General features: G+C 46.1%; 1 protein-coding gene across 14 annotated transcripts in view, besides 3 other annotated features; it reads left to right on the top strand.

Moving 5' to 3' along the window:
• Positions 7,382-7,451: a silencer, noted in NCBI's record as "silent region_1319". NCBI's record gives its function as "represses an Ori minimal core promoter by ATAC-STARR-seq in GM12878 lymphoblastoid cells {active_cell/tissue: GM12878}" and the evidence as "EXISTENCE:reporter gene assay evidence [ECO:0000049][PMID:35858748]".
• Positions 7,382-8,311: a biological region, named in NCBI's record as "H3K27ac-H3K4me1 hESC enhancer GRCh37_chr1:151299400-151300324".
• Positions 7,387-8,311: an enhancer, noted in NCBI's record as "H3K27ac-H3K4me1 hESC enhancer chr1:151299400-151300324 (GRCh37/hg19 assembly coordinates)". NCBI's record gives its function as "activates a minimal SCP1, AML or CMV promoter by ChIP-STARR-seq in primed H9 embryonic stem cells {active_cell/tissue: H9 hESC(primed)}" and the evidence as "EXISTENCE:reporter gene assay evidence [ECO:0000049][PMID:30033119]".
• The window catches only part of PI4KB (phosphatidylinositol 4-kinase beta), a 35,919-nt gene continuing 25,653 nt past the window's right edge, over positions 7,520-17,785 (top strand). For 3 of the 14 annotated variants that reach the window (NM_001198775.3, NM_001198774.2, NM_001369623.2), the window contains exon 1: positions 7,819-7,964. Coding sequence is in view for 4 of the 14 variants with exons in the window: in NM_001369625.1 (NP_001356554.1) it covers positions 9,056-9,063 (8 nt within the window). In the remaining 10 variants the exon portion in view is untranslated. Of the gene's footprint in view, positions 7,965-8,861; positions 9,064-10,317; positions 10,491-17,785 lie in introns of all 14 variants that reach the window. The other 11 variants (NM_001198773.3, NM_001330721.2, NM_001369625.1 and 8 more) reach the window with 9 other exon arrangements.

Here is a 17,785-nt window from a genome sequence, read left to right as displayed (position 1 = left end):
TAATGAGTGTTACGGGGTTTTAAAGTAACCTATTCCACCCTATTTTAAAATATATAACATGAAACAAGTTATTCCTCTGTAGTTTAAGCAATCTTCAGTTTTTTAGATGAAGGCCTAAACTAAGATTTGGGGGAGTACCACTTCCTTCCTACCATTCCTCACTCTTCTCCTTCTCCACAATTTCCCGTTCTCCACTCCCATTACCTTTTCCAGTTCTATTATTCATTTTAGTTTATCATAAATTTACTAAAATTTAAAATAAACTTTTGCTATAATAGCCGGGCACGGTGGCTCCCACCTGTAATTCCAGCACTTTGGGAGGCCAAAGTGGGCGGATCACTGGAGGTTAGGAGTTCAAGACCAGCCTGACCAACGTGGAGAAACCCCATCTCTACTAAAAATACAAAAAAAAAAATTAGCCAGGTGTGGTGGCGCATGCCTGTAATCTCAGCTACTCGGGAGGCTGAGGCAGGAGAATTGCTTGAACCTGGGAGGTGGAGGTTGCAGTGAGCTGAGATTGCGCCATTGCACTCCAGCCTGGGCAACAAGAGCAAAACTCCATCTCAAAAAAATAATAAAAATAAAAAATAACCTTTTGCTGTTAAACCAAGGCAAACTCTATATGTGTAGTCTATGGCCTCAAATAAATGAATCTATTGTTTATTTTTGTAGCTAATAATCAGCCTTCTTTAGAAATTAAAGCAAATGCTACACATTCACACAGCATAATAAATGGGGGAATTAATGTCACTGTATATTTGTCTTAAGTGTTTTACTTCATGTTGTGGTTTCTCAGTAGTACTACTTCTTCATCCAAAAACACCCTGCTGATTCCATCCTATGTGAAAAATCTGTTCAGCGTTTTATACAGAGAGTTGGCTGAACACAGATACATATATCTCACAGTATATAGAAATGCTCAGGTTGGCCGGGCATGGTGGCTCACACCTGTAATCCCAGCACTCTGGGAGGCTGAGGCAAGCGGATTACCTGAGGTGAGGAGTTTAAGACCAGCCTGGCCAACGTGGTAAAACCTCGCCTCTATTAAAAATACAAAAAAAAAATTAGCCTGGCATGGTGGCGTGTGCCTGTAATCCCAGCTACTCAGGAGGCTGAGGCACGAGAATTGCTTCAACCTGGGAGGTGGAGGTTACAGTCAGCCGAGATTGCACCACTGCACTCCAGCCTGGGCAACAGAGGGAGAATCTGTCTCAAAAAAAAAATGCTCAGGCTGGGCACAGTGGAGCCAGGCCTGTAATTCCAGCTACTTGGGAGGCTGAGGTGGGAGGATTGCTTGAGCCTAAGAGCTCGAGAACAGCCTGGGCAACATTGCAAAACCCCATCTCTACAAAAAAATTAGCCAGGCATAGTGGCACGCACCTGTGGACCCAGCTACTTGGGAGGCTGAAGTAGGAGGACTGCTTGAGCCCAGGAGGTGGAGGCTGCAGTGAGCTGAGATGGCACCGCTGCACTCCAGCCTGGGTGACAGAGGAGCAAGACCCTGTCTCAAAATAAAAAAAGAAAAGAAATGTTCATAAAGCCAGGCAATGGGACATGCACCTGTAGTCCTAGCTACTTGGGAGGCTGAGGTGGGAGGACTGCCTGAGCCCAGGATTTCGAGGCTGAAGTGAACGATGATTGTGCCATTACACCCCAGCCTTAAGAGACAGAGCAAGACCTCATCTCTAAAAGTAAAAAAGTTCAGAGGGAGGCATTTGTTTACTGGAATAATCAGGCCAGACTCTGTGGCTCACACCTGTAATCCCAGCACTCTGGGAGGTGAGGCAGAGGATTGCTTGAGCCTAGGAGTTTAAGACCAGCCTCAGCAACATGGCGAGATCTCATCTCTACAAAAAAATACAAAAAATTAACTGGGCGTGGTGCTGTGCTCCTGTAATTCCAGCTACTCAGGAGGCTGAGGTGGAAGGATCACTTGAGCCTGGGAGATCGAGGCTGCAGTGAGCCGAGATGGCACCACTACACTCCAGCCTGGGTAGAGCGAGACCCTGTCTCAACAACAAACCCACAATGACTTAACTATTCTGAAGCTCAGTTTCCCTAAAATGGAATAAAATCTGTTTCATTTGCTTGTAATGAGGAATAAATGAGTTAATGTTTGTATTCATACACAGTAGGGGGCTCAAGCAATAACTGCTGGCTTCTTTTTCATTACCCTGAAAAAAAGCCTATGTATCTAAATATCTATATATTGTTCAGGAAAAAAATTCACTCTCTTATAAAAGTTTCTTTAACTCAAGGGTGTTTAAGATATAACTGGAGGCTAGGTGTGGTGGCTCACACCTGTAATCCCAGCACTTTGGGAGGCCGAGGCAGACAGATCTCTTGAGTCCAGGAGTTTGAGACCAGCCTGGCCAACATGGTGAAACCCTGTCTCTACTAAAAATACAAAAATTAGCTGGGAGTGGTGGCTCATGCCTGTAATCGCAGCTACTTGGGAGGCTTTGGCAGGAGAATTGCTTGAACCTGGGAAGCAGAGGTTGCAGTGAGCCAAGATTGCACCATTGCACTCCAGCCTGGGCAACAGAGTGAGACTCAGTCTTAAAAAAAAAAAGGAAAAAAGATATAACTGGAGTTGTATTTTACTGACTTTTGAATAAGCCAACTTCTTTCCCCAGTTTGTAAACAAGACAAACAAATGACATTATCTTACTCTGTTGGTAATTTCCTGCCCTCCCCACACCTCGATGTGCAAAACATATACGTACTTTCCTACCAAAGCTAGAGGCTTCGTGTGTACACAGGATAGCATAGGTTCCCATAGGGTCACCCATCATCCAAGTGCAAAACCATCTACATCTATAGTGGCTCCTTGGGATCTCACATAGAGGTGAGTGATTTTTTTTTTTTTAATCAAAAGAATTTTTTAAAAACAGATTCGGTGAAGTGAGAAATTTTAGAGCATATCACAAATGTTAAGCTTTTTTATTTTTTTTTTTTCTTTTTTGAGACAGAGTCTCACTCCGTCACCCAGGCTGGAGTGCAGTGATGCAATCTCAGCTCACTGCAACCTCTGCCTCCTGGTTTTAAATAATTCTCCCTGCCTCAGCCTCCTGAGTAGCTGGGATTACAGGCACCCACCACCAGGCCTGGCTGTTTTGTATTTTTTTTTTTTTTTTTTTTTTAGTAGAGACAGGGTTTCACCATGTTGGCCAAGCTGGTCTTGAACTCCTGACCTCAGGTGATCCACCCACTTCAGCCTCCCAACGTGCTGGGATTACAGGCGTGAGCCACCGTACGCAGCCGCAAATGTTATGCTTTTACATTTAATGTGGGGGGAGAGAATGGCATTCAGTTTTACAATTTGACAACTAAGGAGACTGAGGAGAAAAAAGACAAATCAGGGGGAGGAAAACATAACTTAGTCAAAATATTTATTTAAAAAATATTTTTGGCCGGGTGTGGTGGCTCATGCCTGTAATCCCAGCACTTTGGGAGGACGAGACGGGTGGATCACTTGAGGTCAGGAGTTTGAGACCAGCCTGGCCAACATGGTGAAACACTGTCTCTACGAAAATAACAAAAATTAGCTGGGTGTGGTGGTGGGTGCCTGTAATCCCAGCTACTTAGGAAGCTAAGGCAGGAGAATGGCTCCAACCCGGGAGGCGGAGGTTGCAGTGAGCTGAGATGGCACCACTGCACTCCAGCCTGGACAACAGAGTGAGACTCTGTCTCAATTAAAAAAAAAAAAAAGAAAAAGAAAAAAATATATATATAAAATATATATATATATATATATGAACTAAATCATTTTTGAAAAATAACTATATTTTCCGAAACAAGAAAAAAAATCAATGAGACAATTGGCATTGTTTTTAAAGGGGGAAATTTCTTTAATGTCAGACTGGGTTCTCATATCTGCTTCTGCATTCAATCTTTGTGTGTGTGTGTGTGTATGTGTGTGTGTGTGTGTGTCTCACTCTGTCACCCAGGCTGGAGTGCAGTGGCATGATTGCAGCTCACTGCAACCTCTACCTCCCAGGTTCAAGCAATTCTCCTGCCTAAGCCTTCCCACAGGTGCATACTACCACGTCTCGCTAATTTTTGTGATTTTGGTAGAGACACAGTGGCTCACACCTATAATCCCAGCGTTTTGGGAGGCCAAGGTGGGCAGATCACCTGAGGTTGGGAGTTCGAGACCAGCCTGGGCAACATGGTGAAACCCCATCTCTACTAAAAATACAAAAATTAGCTGGGCGTGGTGGCGTGCACCTGTAATCCCAGCTACTTGGGAGGCTGAAGCACGACAATCGCTTGAATTCGGGAGGCAGAGTTTGCAGTGAGCTGAGATCACGCCACTGCACTCCAGCCTGGGCAAAAAAGCAAGACCCTGTCTCAAAAAAAACAAAAACAAAAAACAGAAGATGATAAAAAAAAAAAAAAGAAACCCTCCCGAAAACGGCAGAAAGACAGTCATAAAGGGATGCAAAGAAATTTATACATATGGGCCAGGCACAGTGGCTCACGCCTGTAATCCCAGCACTTTAGGAGGCCGAGGCGGGCGGATCACGAGTTCAAGAGATCAAGACCATCCTGGCCAACATGGTGAAACCCCGTCTCTACTAAAAATACAAAAATTAGCTGGGCATGGTGACGCATGCCTGTAATCCCAGCTACTCGGGAGGCTGAGGCAGAAGAATCGCTTGAATCCAGGAGGTGGAGGAGGGTCCCTTGAGCCAAGATTGCACCATTGCACTCCAGCCTGGGCGACAGAGGGAGACTCTGTCTCAAAAAGAAAAAAAAAAGAAAGAAAGAAATTTATACATATGAACCCTTAGAGCTATAAATAGGAAACTTAAAATCTTCTACTTATGTTTGTGTGTGTGTGTATTTTTAGTAGGGTGGTCTATAACTGACTAGCTATAAAAAGTTCCTGCTTCAAATTTGAAGAGATGTTTCTGAAATTTTTTCTGTCATTGGAAAATAAGAAAACTTCCTACTATAAAAAAGGTTGTCACATGTCTTTCTACAATGTTTCAAAAGGCTAGTCTTGTGGCTGTTTGGAAGGTTATCCCTTGAGGGGATACATGACATTTTAAACTCTAGGCTAAAGCAGGGTCATCGCCTCATGATATTTGCGGGACAGCTGATTGGAAGCTGGCCAAGAGCTGGTGGGCCTAACATGTGGACTGGTGATTCTCCCCAATCCAGACCAGTGGTGAGAATTTTTTTTTTTTTTTTGAGATGGAGTCTCGCTCTGTTGCCCAGGCTGGAGTGCAATGGCGCAATCTCGGCTCACTGCAACCTCTGCCTCTCAGGTTCAAGTGATTCCCTGCCTCACCCTCCCTAGTAGCTGGGATTATAGGCACCCACCACCATGCCCAGCTAATTTTTGTATTTTTAGTAGAGACAGGGTTTCACCAAGTCGGTCAGGCTGGTCTCAAACTCCTGACCTCGACTGATCCACCCACCTCGGACTCCCAAAGTGCTGGGATTACAGGCGTGAGCCACCACGCCAAGCCGATTTTTTTTTTTGAGACAGGGTCTCACTCCGTTGTCCAGGCTGGAGTGCAGTGGCATGATCTTGGCTCACTGCAGCCTCTGTCTCCCAGGCTCAAGTGATCCTCCTACCTCAGCCTCCTAAGTAGCTGGGACTACAGGTGCATGCCACCATGCCAGCTAGGCTAATTTTTGTATTTTTGAAGAGACGTGGTTTCACCATGTTGCCCAGGCTGGTCTCAAACCCCTGAGCTCAAGCAATCTGCCCACCTCAGCCTCCCAAAGTGCTGGGATTACAGGTGTGAGCCACTGTGCCCAGCTGACAAATTTAAACTATCTTTGGCACTCTTGTCCCCATTCTTTGTTCATCTTTCATACTGTACTCCTGCTTTAACCTAGCTTGTCTGCTTGCCCTCTCCTCATGATATGAGCAAATTCCCATTTATATTCTTCAACATACAATTTTTTTGCTTTCAGAATGCTCGCTTGTCTTTTATTTTGCTGGGTTATATCCAATATCTATTCTAAGACCTGACTCACAATATTTCTAAGAAGCCTTCCATTCATTCATTCACCATATACTGGTGTGTGTGTGTGTGTGTGTGTGTGTGTGTGTGTGTGTATGTGTGTGTGTCCATACACATATAGGCCTTCCAAATTAACTTAAACTCCACTATGTCCCTTCAGCAATTAGGTTAGGTACCCCATTTGTTCTACTGTTGTATATACTGCATGTTTTACACAGGCATTTTCAAGCTATTACACTTTATTCTGCCTTCCAATTAAACATTGTAGCAGTGACTCTTTCATCATCTATCCTGTATGATTGTCCCAATAATTAATAATAAAGTACTATAGTAGCAACTTGTACTCTCTTGATCCTAACAAAACCCTGTAATGGGCTAATATTACTTCATCCATATGTCTTCTTTGTAGACATAGAAACTGAGGTTTAAAGAGGTTACATTAGTTATTCCAAATCAAACGGCTTGTAAGTGGCAGGGAAGATGGCATTCAAGACCCGGGCTCAAATAACTAGCCTCAATGTATTAAGTAAGGCACTAATGAGGGGCATTGCATATTAAGTAAAGCCCTAGGAAAGGCATTGAGATAGAGGTTCTGAGGACAAAGAGGGCTCTAAATCAACAATCTTAACCGAAAAATACACAAAAAACTTGCTGGGCGAGGTCGGGCCTATAATCCCAGCACTTTGGTACCTGAGGCCGGCAGATTGCTTGAGGCTAACAGTTCGAGACAAGCTTGGGCAACATAGCAAGACCCTGTCTTTACAAAACAAACAAACAAACGAAAAATACACAAAAGCAACACCAGAGGCCCATTTGCATGGCGTGTTTTTGTTTATTTGTTTGGCCTAATATGGTTTCGTTTTGTTTGGAAGAAGGGATTGTGCCCTCCAAGCCTTTGTCGTTTCACTCACCTCTCCCAACCTGGCCCTGTCCAGCCCCTCCCTGGAGGGCTGGGCATATGGATGCTGGAGGTCACAGGCTGCCCAGGCAGGTTGGTGACCTCGGAGGCAGAACCACGGCCTCGAGTCGGGCCTCTAACGGCGAAAAGACTGACGCGGTTGGACCGCGCCATTCCCGAAATGTTAAGGAGCTTAAACTCCGCATCGTCCTCCAAGATAAGTAGGAAAAGGGCAGTCAGAAAGAACGTCTTCCCCGTCCGCCGTCTTCCTGCGCGCCCTTCTAGGAACCCAGCGTCCATCCCACGGCCTGATTTACTAAGGGAGTCTTGTAGCATACGGGAGGGGGAAAAGTCATTGATTGCAATTACGGTAATTTGGTTAGTTACTCAAACGGTCGTTTACATATAACTTGCATGTTAATATACTTCTGGAAGTATGCATATGTCCATACTTCTTTAACAGGGCACCCACGGCCGCCTGCTCACCCTACTTATGCAGCAAATTTTACTTCTCTCTCGGCTTCTTTAGCCTCGCAAACGCTATCGCTTAGGTCCGCTTCTTAAATATTGGCCCCTCCTCCCACCCGTAAGCTCCTCCCTTCGCCCTCTCTCCCTCGAGAGCTTCCAAACATCTTTTCCCCGCCCCCTTTTCTATTTCTGAACAGGCATGTTCCAGGCAGCTCACCCGACTCCTTAGATTACTATGGAATCGGTAGGGTCCTGACCGCTGGGGAAGCAGGAAAGCGTATCCTGGGAAGAAAGGCTTGGCTTGGACTCCGGAGAAGAATACTACATCGAGACCTGCTGGGGAATTTTATTTTATTTTATTATTTTTTTGGTCTTGGTTGTACTGAGGGAGGAAGAAGAGGTTGTGTGGCCCGGTCGAACTTGTGGCAGCCTGAAGGCCCCCTCAGGCGGCGCCGCGGGCAGCCCCGCAGCCGGGGCCTGGTGCAGCCTCCGCGGCCGCTGTCAGGGAAGCGCAGGCGGCCAATGGAACCCGGGAGCGGTCGCTGCTGCTGAGGCGGCAGTGTCGGCAGTCCAACCGCGACTGCCCGCACCCCCTCCGCGGGGGTCCCCCAGAGGTAAGCTACTCCTCCTTCATGAGTCACCTTTGCCCTGTTGGGTGGGGGGGGGGGTCCCTCTCCCACCCTGTCCCGCACAGTCTTCCCCACCTGAGTTCGACTACGAAACTGCCCTCTTGGTGTCAGCTGCACCCCGGGTTCCTTCTCCACCCTTTCCTCTCAGGCCTGGGGTCCTCCTCCGCTTTTTGGCTTCCTCTTCTATTAGCTCCTCCCTCTGCCTCGGGGATTCCCCCCTCCCTCACTCATCCCTGTTGCCTACGTCTCGAATAATTCTTTTTTTTAAGTCATGAACCCTTTCCATATCAGACGACTCCCATAATGCCCATCCTTGTCCTTCCTCGTCGTCTCTGCCCCTGCCCCAAACCTTTTCCATGGACTCCACCTTTATCTCTTTTCCTAGTTTGCACTTTTCCTCCTATGTCCCTGTGCAACTCCAGCACTGGGTTCCCATTTCCCTGAGCTAAAGATTGCATCCCTGTCTTCCTGTGCTGCTTCTGATTCCATTACCTCACTGTCACCCACCTACCCAGCCAGCTCCTGGCTTCCAAGAATTGCCTGTTCCCTTCTCCTTAAGGGATCTCGGGCCCTTGTCATCAATCCAAAAGTACCATTTACATTCTTACTTTGAACCTAGTCCTCACTCTTCTCTGGGATGCATTATGATCCCTATAACTTTCTTTAGCTTCTCTTTCTCCCTCCTCAATCCCCCAACTTTCTAGAGGTTTCTGTCTGTAGGGGAGAGATTTGACAGTGCCCTTCCCATTCAGGATTTCCAACTTTGACACCTCCCTCGAGTTTCAGGGATTTCTCTGATCCTTGTGACATTTGTTCTGTTTTTCCCGTGGGCTTCATGTGTTCTCTGTTACACTCTTTATCTCCACATACCACTTATTTCAGGATCAACTAAACCTTGAACTAAGAAGAAAAATGTGTTGTGAGCAGGGGGAGCCTCAGCTGCCTCAGGCCGTTCAGGACAGAAGGGTGTTTCTGAAGGCCGGAGCAAGTTTTGAAGAAGTCCCTATCAGATTACACTTGGTTGACTACTCCGGAGCAGCCACTAAGAGGGATGAACAGGCCTGCGTGGAAATTGAATGAGATTGTGAGAAAACTTGTTTCAGATTATTTAATTTTAGGCTTTTGTTAAAGGAATCACAGAATAGAGTGCCTTCTCACCCCTGTCCAGATCCATGAGGAATCAGTTTATTCTTGTGGTTTACTAGAATAGTTTTGGTTGGTTCCATAAGAATTCAGGCCTGGAGTGGGGTAAGGGTATAACTGGAAAAAGGAACATGAGACAATGGAAAGAGCTTGTACATTCAGAATCGGGACTCCTGGGTTCAGCATGTGACTTCCTCACTTGACCTCTAGAGTGATCCTTTTGGAAAATGCCCACTCTCTGTAGGCATCAGTGCAGTAATAAGTTGGTAGCAGGATGTGGGTTGGGGGAAAAAATCAGATTTGGTTTATTTGTTTACAAAACATTTTGGGTTCCTCAGGCAAAAGGTATTTATTAGTAGTGGTTTAGTCATCCTGAGAATTTTCCTTCACCTTGGTCTTTCTGTCAGATGTTTCTAGTCCACAACCAGGGGTGTAAGTCATTTTGAAAGACAAGCTCCAGGCCTGCTTCCTTCATCTGCTTTGCTTTTTCCCCCAGTGCATTAAGTGGCTGATTTTCTGTCCTGTTCCTCACGTACTTGATCCATAACTCCAGATTCTATAGGTAGAAAGTATGTTTGTGGGAAAGCACTTTGAGGAAGCTGGCTGGAAAAGAGAACTTGGAGTGAACTGAGACTTAGGCAACTAGTTGCTGCCATGTCTCTCTCAGCCTGTGATAGCGAAAGGGCACGTGAGATTCCATTCATTTTCTGATTCTAGGTCTGTTTGGGAGTAGTTATGTCATCTTATCCCACTTCCTTTCTCTTCCTTGTCGTTAGTCATGGTGCAGTCTCCTCATAATTCCCCTTATTAGAAGCTTTCCTGCCAGGCGCGGTGGCTCACACCTGTAATCCCAGCATTTTGGGAGGCCGAGGCAGGCAGATCACCCGAGGTCAGGAGTTCAAGACCAGTCCGGCCAACATGGTGAAACCCCATCTCTACTAAAAATACAAAAAATTAGCCGGGCATGGTGGCGAGCTTCTGTAATCCCAGCTACTCCGGAGGCTGAAGCAGGAGAATTACTTGAACCCAGGAGGCGAAGGTTGCAGTGAGCCGAGATCACGCCACTGCACTCCAGCCTGGGTGACTGAGTGAAACTCTGTCTCAGGAAAAAAAAAAAAAAAAAAGCAGCTTTCCTCCTTGGAAGCATCCCCAACCAGAAATCATATTTCCTCTCATTTCCCTGCTTTCTTCTTAGAGTTGAGTCCACGCTCCATGAGAATGCTGAACACCATCCAAAGCAGCAAATTGAGATTCCTTGATTTGGGGAAGAGGTTTGGGAGGAACCCTTCAATAATTGGCATGGGACAAGAGGGGACCCAGTCCAAGTGTATTTGGGACTCGCAGTAGGGAGGAACAATTCAGAGAGAGGTGAGTGCACAGGCTGCTTTCTTTGCCATCTGTTTCAGTAGCGGCTCCCATAGCTGGCTTGGGCTGTCTGGCTGGAATCTGCTTATACCAGCTCCATGGCTCTGCACAGAGTTCTCAGCCTGAATCAATATTGACTTAACTACCATGAGACCACTGCCCTCCCTACCCTCGTGCTAGTAGCTTGAGAATGCCCTCTCCCCTAATGCCCACACTCTCTGGGCCCTTGTGTCAGCAGTTACCTGGATCCTGGTAGGGCTGGAGCTGGCTTGACTGCCTGGCCCTGAGTTTCTATAAGGAAAAAGGAGTACTCAATCTCTACCTTTACCATTGAGGTCAAAGGGGAGAGATGAGTTGAGACATCCTTAAAGAAAGGTTTGAGTTAGACATTAAGACATGAGGAGGAACTCCTCAACAGCAGAACAGGCAGTCAAAGATGATATGGAGTCTCTTTTGAGGAGCAACCTCTCTTTAAAAATTATTTTTGGGCTGGGCACCGTGGCTCATGCCCGTAATCCCAGCACTTCGGGAGGCTGAGGTGGGCGGATCACTTGAGGTCAAGAGTTGGAAACCAGCCTGGCATGTTCGAGACAACATGGTGAAACCCCATCTCTACTAAAAATACAAAAATTAGCCAGGTGTGGTGGCGTGTGCCTGTAATTCCAGCTACTCGGGAGGCTGAGGCAGAGAATCACTTGAACCTGAGAGGCAGAAGTTGCAGTGAGCTGAGATGGCGCCACTGCACTCCAGCCTGGGTAACAGAGCGAGACTCCATCTCAAAAAAAAAAAAATTTTTTTTTGAAGGAATGCATGCATTTGGTAACAAATCCAATGGTACTCAAAGAGTTTATGAAGAAAAACAGCAGTCCTGTTTCCGTTCATCCCTACTCCTGTTCTCGCAGAGTTAACCTCCTTAATTATCTCAGTGTTCTGAAGGTTATCACCATAGCTTTAGATAAAATGCTTGTTCCTCTATTTCTTTGTTTTTTTGTTTGTTTTTGTTGTTGTTTTTGTTTGTTTGTTTGAGATGGAGTCTCGTTCTGTCGCCCAGGCTAGAGTGCAGTGGCACGATCTCGGCTCACTGCAACCTCTGCCTCAGGGTTCAAGCAGTTCTCCTGCCTCAGCCTCCCGAGTAGCTGGGATTACAGGTGCCCGCCACCACGCCTGGCTAAGTTTTTGTATTTTTTGGTAGAGATGGGGTTTCACCATGTTGGCCAGGCTGGTCACGAACTCCTGACCTCAGGTGATCCACCCACCCCGGCCTCCCAGAGTGCTGGGATTACAGCGATCTCAGCTCACGGCAACCTGCGCCTCCCAGGTTTAAGCGATTGTTCTGCCTCAGCCTCCCGAGTAGCTGAGATTACAGGCACCCGCCACCATGCCTGGCTAGTTTTTTATATTTTTTAGTAGAGACGGGGTTTCACCATGTTGGCCAGGCTGGTCACAAAGTGCTGACCTCAGGTGATCCACCCGCCTCAGCCTCCCAGAGTGCTGGGATTACAGGCATGAGCCACTGCACCTGGCCATTTGTTCCTCTATTTCTTTACTTATTGTTACAAACAAGGATTTAGCTTTAGAGGATATACCTCTCATTTATATAATTATGTCATTTTTATTTCTTCTACTGGACACCTGTATAACTTTAAATAATATTTAATATATTTGAACCTTTCTTTCTTTTCCATTAACTTTTGACAGTCTCTCTTAATTCACCTTGTAGAATGAACGTCAGATATTGGTTTCCTTACCCGTTTTTCCATCTCTTGTGGATCCATCTCAAAGGACTGTGAGATGTATAAAAAAAGGATAGAGGAGACTAGTTGTGGTGGCTCATGCTTTGTAATCTCAGCACTTTGGGAGGCCTAGGCGGGAGGGTAGCTTGAGGCCAGGAAGAAGCTTTCCTCCTTGGAAGCATCCCCAACCAGAAATCGTATAGTGAGCCATGATTCCACCACTGCACTCCAACCTGGGCAACAGAGTAAGAGCCTGTCTCTTAAGAAAGAAAAAGGAAAAAAATAAAAAGGCAAGGGGTGGGGAAATAAAGGATCCTTTAAAAGGAGGAAAATTGAGCCAGCCTGCCTGCTTGGAAGCAGGGCACTAGATCAGATGATCTCTTAAAGCCATTCTATGAAAATATAAGAACATAAAAATATCAGAATTGGTGCAAACCAATCCATATTTATCTAGTCCATGGAAAAAATTTTGAAAAAGAGAATGGTGATTAACTGGGTGAGGGGATTGATTTGGGGCTCTTTACCATTCTGTCCTAGCAGAGACTGATCCAATAAGTCCTTTAATGGAGGCCAGTAGAAAGTTGTTTGCCTGGAATCTTTTGAGGTGATAAGAAATGGGGAGCTAGGTTAAGCGATAGCATCTCCTCCCCAGAGAGTCCTCTGCAGACATGTATTTTAACTGCTCAGTCACACAGAACATATGTGTATATCTTCTGTGTCTTCTCCAGCTGCTGCTCTGTGTGACCTGTAACAATTCCTTGTCACTCAGACCAGAATTCCCTACTTTGCCCAGTTGGGAGCTGTGGAACTCAGTCAGTTGTCAACTTTTCCTAGGGGCCAGCTGTTAGGCTGTGGAACAGGGGAGGCCTCTTCCATTTCCCTTCCAGTCTGACTGGAAGGAGAATTTAGGTTCCCAGTGTGAAGTGTAGAGCCTCAGTTGTCTGAACCCCCTTGAAGGCCATAGGAGTCATTTAATATTAAAAATTTAGATTGTCTTCCGTCACTTTTTTCTTATTCCTCTGACTTAGAAGGGGAAGGCTGTTGAATACAGGACTTTTTCCTTCACCTTTTCTTTTGCTTTCCAGTCCTTTCATTTTCTTTAGAACAGTTACCCTCAAAGGCTTTTTTTTTTTTTTTTTTTTAAGACAGAGTCTCACTCTGTCGCCCAGGCTGGAGTGCAGTGGTGTGATCTCGGCTCACTGCAAGCTCCGCCTCCTGGGTTCATGCTATTCTCCTGCCTCAGCCTCCCAAGTGGCTGGGACTACAGGTGCCCACCACCATGCCCGGCTAATTTTTTGTATTTTTAGTAGAGACGGGGTTTCACTGTGTTAGCCAGGATGGTCTCCATCTCCTGACCTCGTGATCTGCCCTCCTCAGCCTCCCAAAGTGCTGGGATTACAGGCGTGAGCCACCATGCCCTGCCCACAAAGGCATATTTTCTTGGCATTCAAAACTAAATGAAGCAAGCTGGGCATGGTGGCGGGTGTCTGTAATCCCAGCTACTTGGGAGGCTGAGGCAGGAGAATCGCTTGAACCTGGGAGGCGGAGGTTGCGGTGAGCCAACATTGCGCCACTGCACTCCACTCCAGCCAGGGCAACAGAGCAAGACTCTGTCTCAAAAAAATAAATAAAATAAAAATAATAGTAATAATAAATAGCTAAAGCAATTTAACCCTATTCCCTACAACACCTTCTTCTCCATATGACTTGCTTCAGATGCAGGCAGTGCCTGGGTTCCTGAGAGGCCAGGGAAGAGACCCAGCTCCAGTTTGGTGGTTTCTAGTGGTAGAGCTGCTTATATAGGAGAGGAGTCTGTTTTTTCCTGCACCTCTCAACACTGTCTAGCTCCCTGAGGAGTAAAAGCTGCCGGGAGGGAGAGTCTGTTCAGTAGCAAAATCCTCTGAATACTGTGATGTGATTCTTAGCTGAGCCCTGGGAGTTTTTCTTTTGTCTGTGAGATAAAAGAGGTGATAGTATCCTTATTTGCCTTCCTGGTGCCAGTAATAATCCCAATCGTAGTTAATTGGGGCAGGCATCTGCTAAATTTTCTAGTGAGGTCTGAGACACTATTATGTGGGAGAATGTCTGAACTGTATTTCCCTTGAAAGTTTTGAAAAGTGTACTTCTAGGAGCTTTCAGTGACTTAAAAGTCTGTGGACTAGAGGGAGAGGAAAGGATGTACCAAACATAGAGACTGAGAAAAAGAAGTTGATTGTTTAAGATGATTGAGGCTATCACATGAGTTTCTAAGCAGACCTAAAAGGTAGTGGTCCCCGTTGAATCGGTGACCCTCTGATGAGAGTGCCCTACGAAGGTGTGGCAGGGAATGATTAAAGCTTCCTTCTTATTATTCCTGTGCAACTCACAGTTGCGAGTAGGGACAGATCCACATAGGCAGCCATGCTGGTTCTACTGCTCAGAGGGCACTACCTAATTTTGGGAGAGAGCATAGTGAAAGAGTTGCCACCTTCTTACCAATACCAAGCTCAATCTGCATCAGGGATATTAAATTCAGGAATGAACTTGCTTGGCAGAGTTGGCAGAAAGAAACAGAAATAGCCTTTTTTGGTGATCTCTGAGAACAGAAGAGTTCCCCATCCGTCTTTCTGCAAAACTTTAGTGGTGACTGCTGGGAGGCAGGGAGCTGGACTATATGATATTGGGCAGTTAAAAGTAACCTGGGGCCGGGCGCGGCAGCTCACACCTGTAATCCCAGCACTTTGGGAGGCCGAGGTGGGCAGATCACGAGGTCAGGAAATCGAGACCATCCTGGCTAACATGGTGAAACCCTGCCTCTACTAAAAATACAAAAAATTAGCCGGGCGTGGTGGCGGGCATCTGTAGTCCCAACTACTTGTGAGCCTGAGGCAGGAGAATGGCATGAACCCGGGAAGCGGAGCTTGCAGTGAGCCAAGATTGCACCACTGCACTCCAGCCTGGGCGACAGAGCGAGACTCCGTCTCAAAAAGAAAAAAAAAGTAACCTTAACATTTCAGACGTACAAGAACAGACACTGGAAGGGTGGTGGTGGAAAACAGCCTCCCAGAGGGACTAAAGAATCTCTAGGCCTCCTTATTCCACCTACCCAAAGTATATGCATCCAGGGTCACCGGGGTTGAAGGTGATGTCACTAATATTTTGAAATTACCTGTATTCCAACTCTACAAAATCTTTCCTCTTGCTCATGCTCTTGAGTGTGTCTTAGACTCACTCTATTAGCATTTTTGTGAAGAGGCCTCTGAGTCTGAGTCCTTTGTTAGCTATAGTCAGATTCTGGAGCCAGGTTGATCTGATGAAATTTCCCCAGTTCTGCACTGATTCCAGATTTGGTGAGGCTCTGAAGGATTGTTCTTGGAGAGCAGTGGCTTTGGTCAGCAGTGTTCTTTCATTGAACTTCCTTCCAACAGTCCCTCCAGAGGAGGTGTTCTTTGTTTTGTGACTCCTGTTCCTCCCTGTTCTTTGGAAGGCCTAGATCTATGAGTCCTAGTCTGATTTCTTTTTGCCTTTTCAATTGTCCCTCCAGTTGTTAGAATGTGTGTATGACAGTGGGGGGAGTGGTATTGGGGCAGAAAAGGCTGTCATAAGTATTTCTGGAAGATTCTCAAACAATTGGAACTCTTTGCTTCCCTTATAAAATAATATAAGTTTTATGTTACACACACACTGGTTAGTAACCTTTTAGGTGATGAGGATTCAACTAGCATTTCTTTTTTTTTTTTTTGAGACAGAGTCTCGCTGGTCTTGAACTGCTGACCTCAAAGTGATCCACCTGCCTCAGCCACCCAGTGCACTGGGATTACAGGCATGAGTCACTGTGCCCGGCCTCAACTAGCATATATTGAGTACTACTATGTATCAAAGACTGTGCTAGATTCTTTCATACACGTGATGGTATTTGTTCCACATAGCAACAATGAGAAGGAAGTGTTTTTTCCCAATTTGCAGTTGAGGATAAATGGCTTGCATAAGTTGCACATTTCTGAAAGGCTGAATGAGGATTTTCAACCCCAGCCTATTTGCCTTCAAGTCCAGAGCTCTTTCCATTATATGTTAGCAGCCACGGCACTGGAGAAAGAGGGTGTGATGTCATGATGTCAGACAACCAGAGAAACGGCACAGCTTCAGCAGGGTTGATGATGGTTGTTTTAGAGCTGCCTTCTTCTAAGTGAAGCCTGGCATGGTATTTACTGGCCTTTATTTTCTGGGAACTTCGAGTTTAAAAGGGAAGGTAAAAAAATACCTGTAACCAGAAAAATATATCAAGACTTTAATTTTATTTATTTATTTATTTATTTATTTATTTGAGACAGAGTTTCGCTCTGTTGCCCAGGCTGGAGTGCAGCGGTGCGATCTCGGCTCACCACAACCTCTGCCTCCCGGGTTCAAGCGATTCTCCTGCCTCAGCCTCCCAAGTAGCTGGGATTACAGGCATGCGCCACCACGCCCAGCTAATTTTGTATTTTTAGTAGAGACGAGGTTTCTCCATGTTGGTCAGGCTGGTCTCGAACTCCTGACCTCAGGTAATCCGCCTGCCTCAGCCTCCCAAAGTGCTGGGATTACAGGCGTGAGCCACCGCGCCCGGCCTTTTTTTTTTTTTTTGAGACAGAGTCTCACTCTGTCTCCAGGCTGGAGTGCAATGGCGTAATCTCGGCTCACTGCAACCTCCACCTCCCAGGTTCAAGCAATTCTCCGGCCTCAGCCTCCTGAGTAGCTGGGATTACAGGCGCCTGCCACCACGCCTGGCTAATTTTTGTATTTTTAGTAGAGACGGGGTTTCACCATGTTGGCCAGGATGGTCTCGATCTCTTGACCTCGTGATCTGCCCACCTCGGCCTCCCAAAGTGCTGGGATTACAGGCGTGAGCCACTGCGCCTAGCCAAGACTTTAATATTAAATAAAGATGGCTGGGCAAGGTGGTTCACACCTGTAATCCTAGTGCTTTGGGAGGCTGAGGCAGGAGAATTGCTTGAGGCCAGGCGTTCAAAGCTAGCCTGGGCAACACAGCAAGACGCCATCTGCACAAAAAAATTTTTTTTTAATTAGCTGAGCATGATGGCACACACCTAAAGTCCTAGCTACTCGGGAGGCTGAGGCAGGAGGATGCCTTGAGCCTAGGAGTTCAAGGTTACAGTGAGCTATGATCATGCCACTGCACTCCAGCCTGGGCAACAGAGCAAGACTTGTCTCTAAAAAATAAAAATAAAGGTGAGATGCACAGGACCTGTGTGTAGAATGTTATATGAGTAAGGAAATATAGTCTAAAGTGGAAAATAAAAAGGTTATAGCAGGCATTTAAAGGGAGACAGGAAGAGCAAGTGGATAGAAAAGTATTTGAAGAGTTAGGGAACAAGGGAGTAACACCTGACTTGCTTCTCAGTCTACCCGAAGAATCTGTAAATCACCAGGCATGGTGGCTCATGCCTGTAATTCCAACACTTTACGAGGCTGAGGAGGGAGGATTGCTTGAGCTCAGTTCAAGACCAGGCTGGGCAACATGGTGAGACCTTGTCTCTACAGAAAAATTTAAAAAATTAACCAGGCATGGAGGCACATGCGTGTAGTCCT

Source organism: Homo sapiens, chromosome 1, assembly GCF_000001405.40.
Source record: "Homo sapiens chromosome 1, GRCh38.p14 Primary Assembly".
NCBI classification, from domain to species: domain Eukaryota; kingdom Metazoa; phylum Chordata; class Mammalia; order Primates; family Hominidae; genus Homo; species Homo sapiens.
This window is presented reverse-complemented; position numbering and strand designations above follow the sequence as displayed.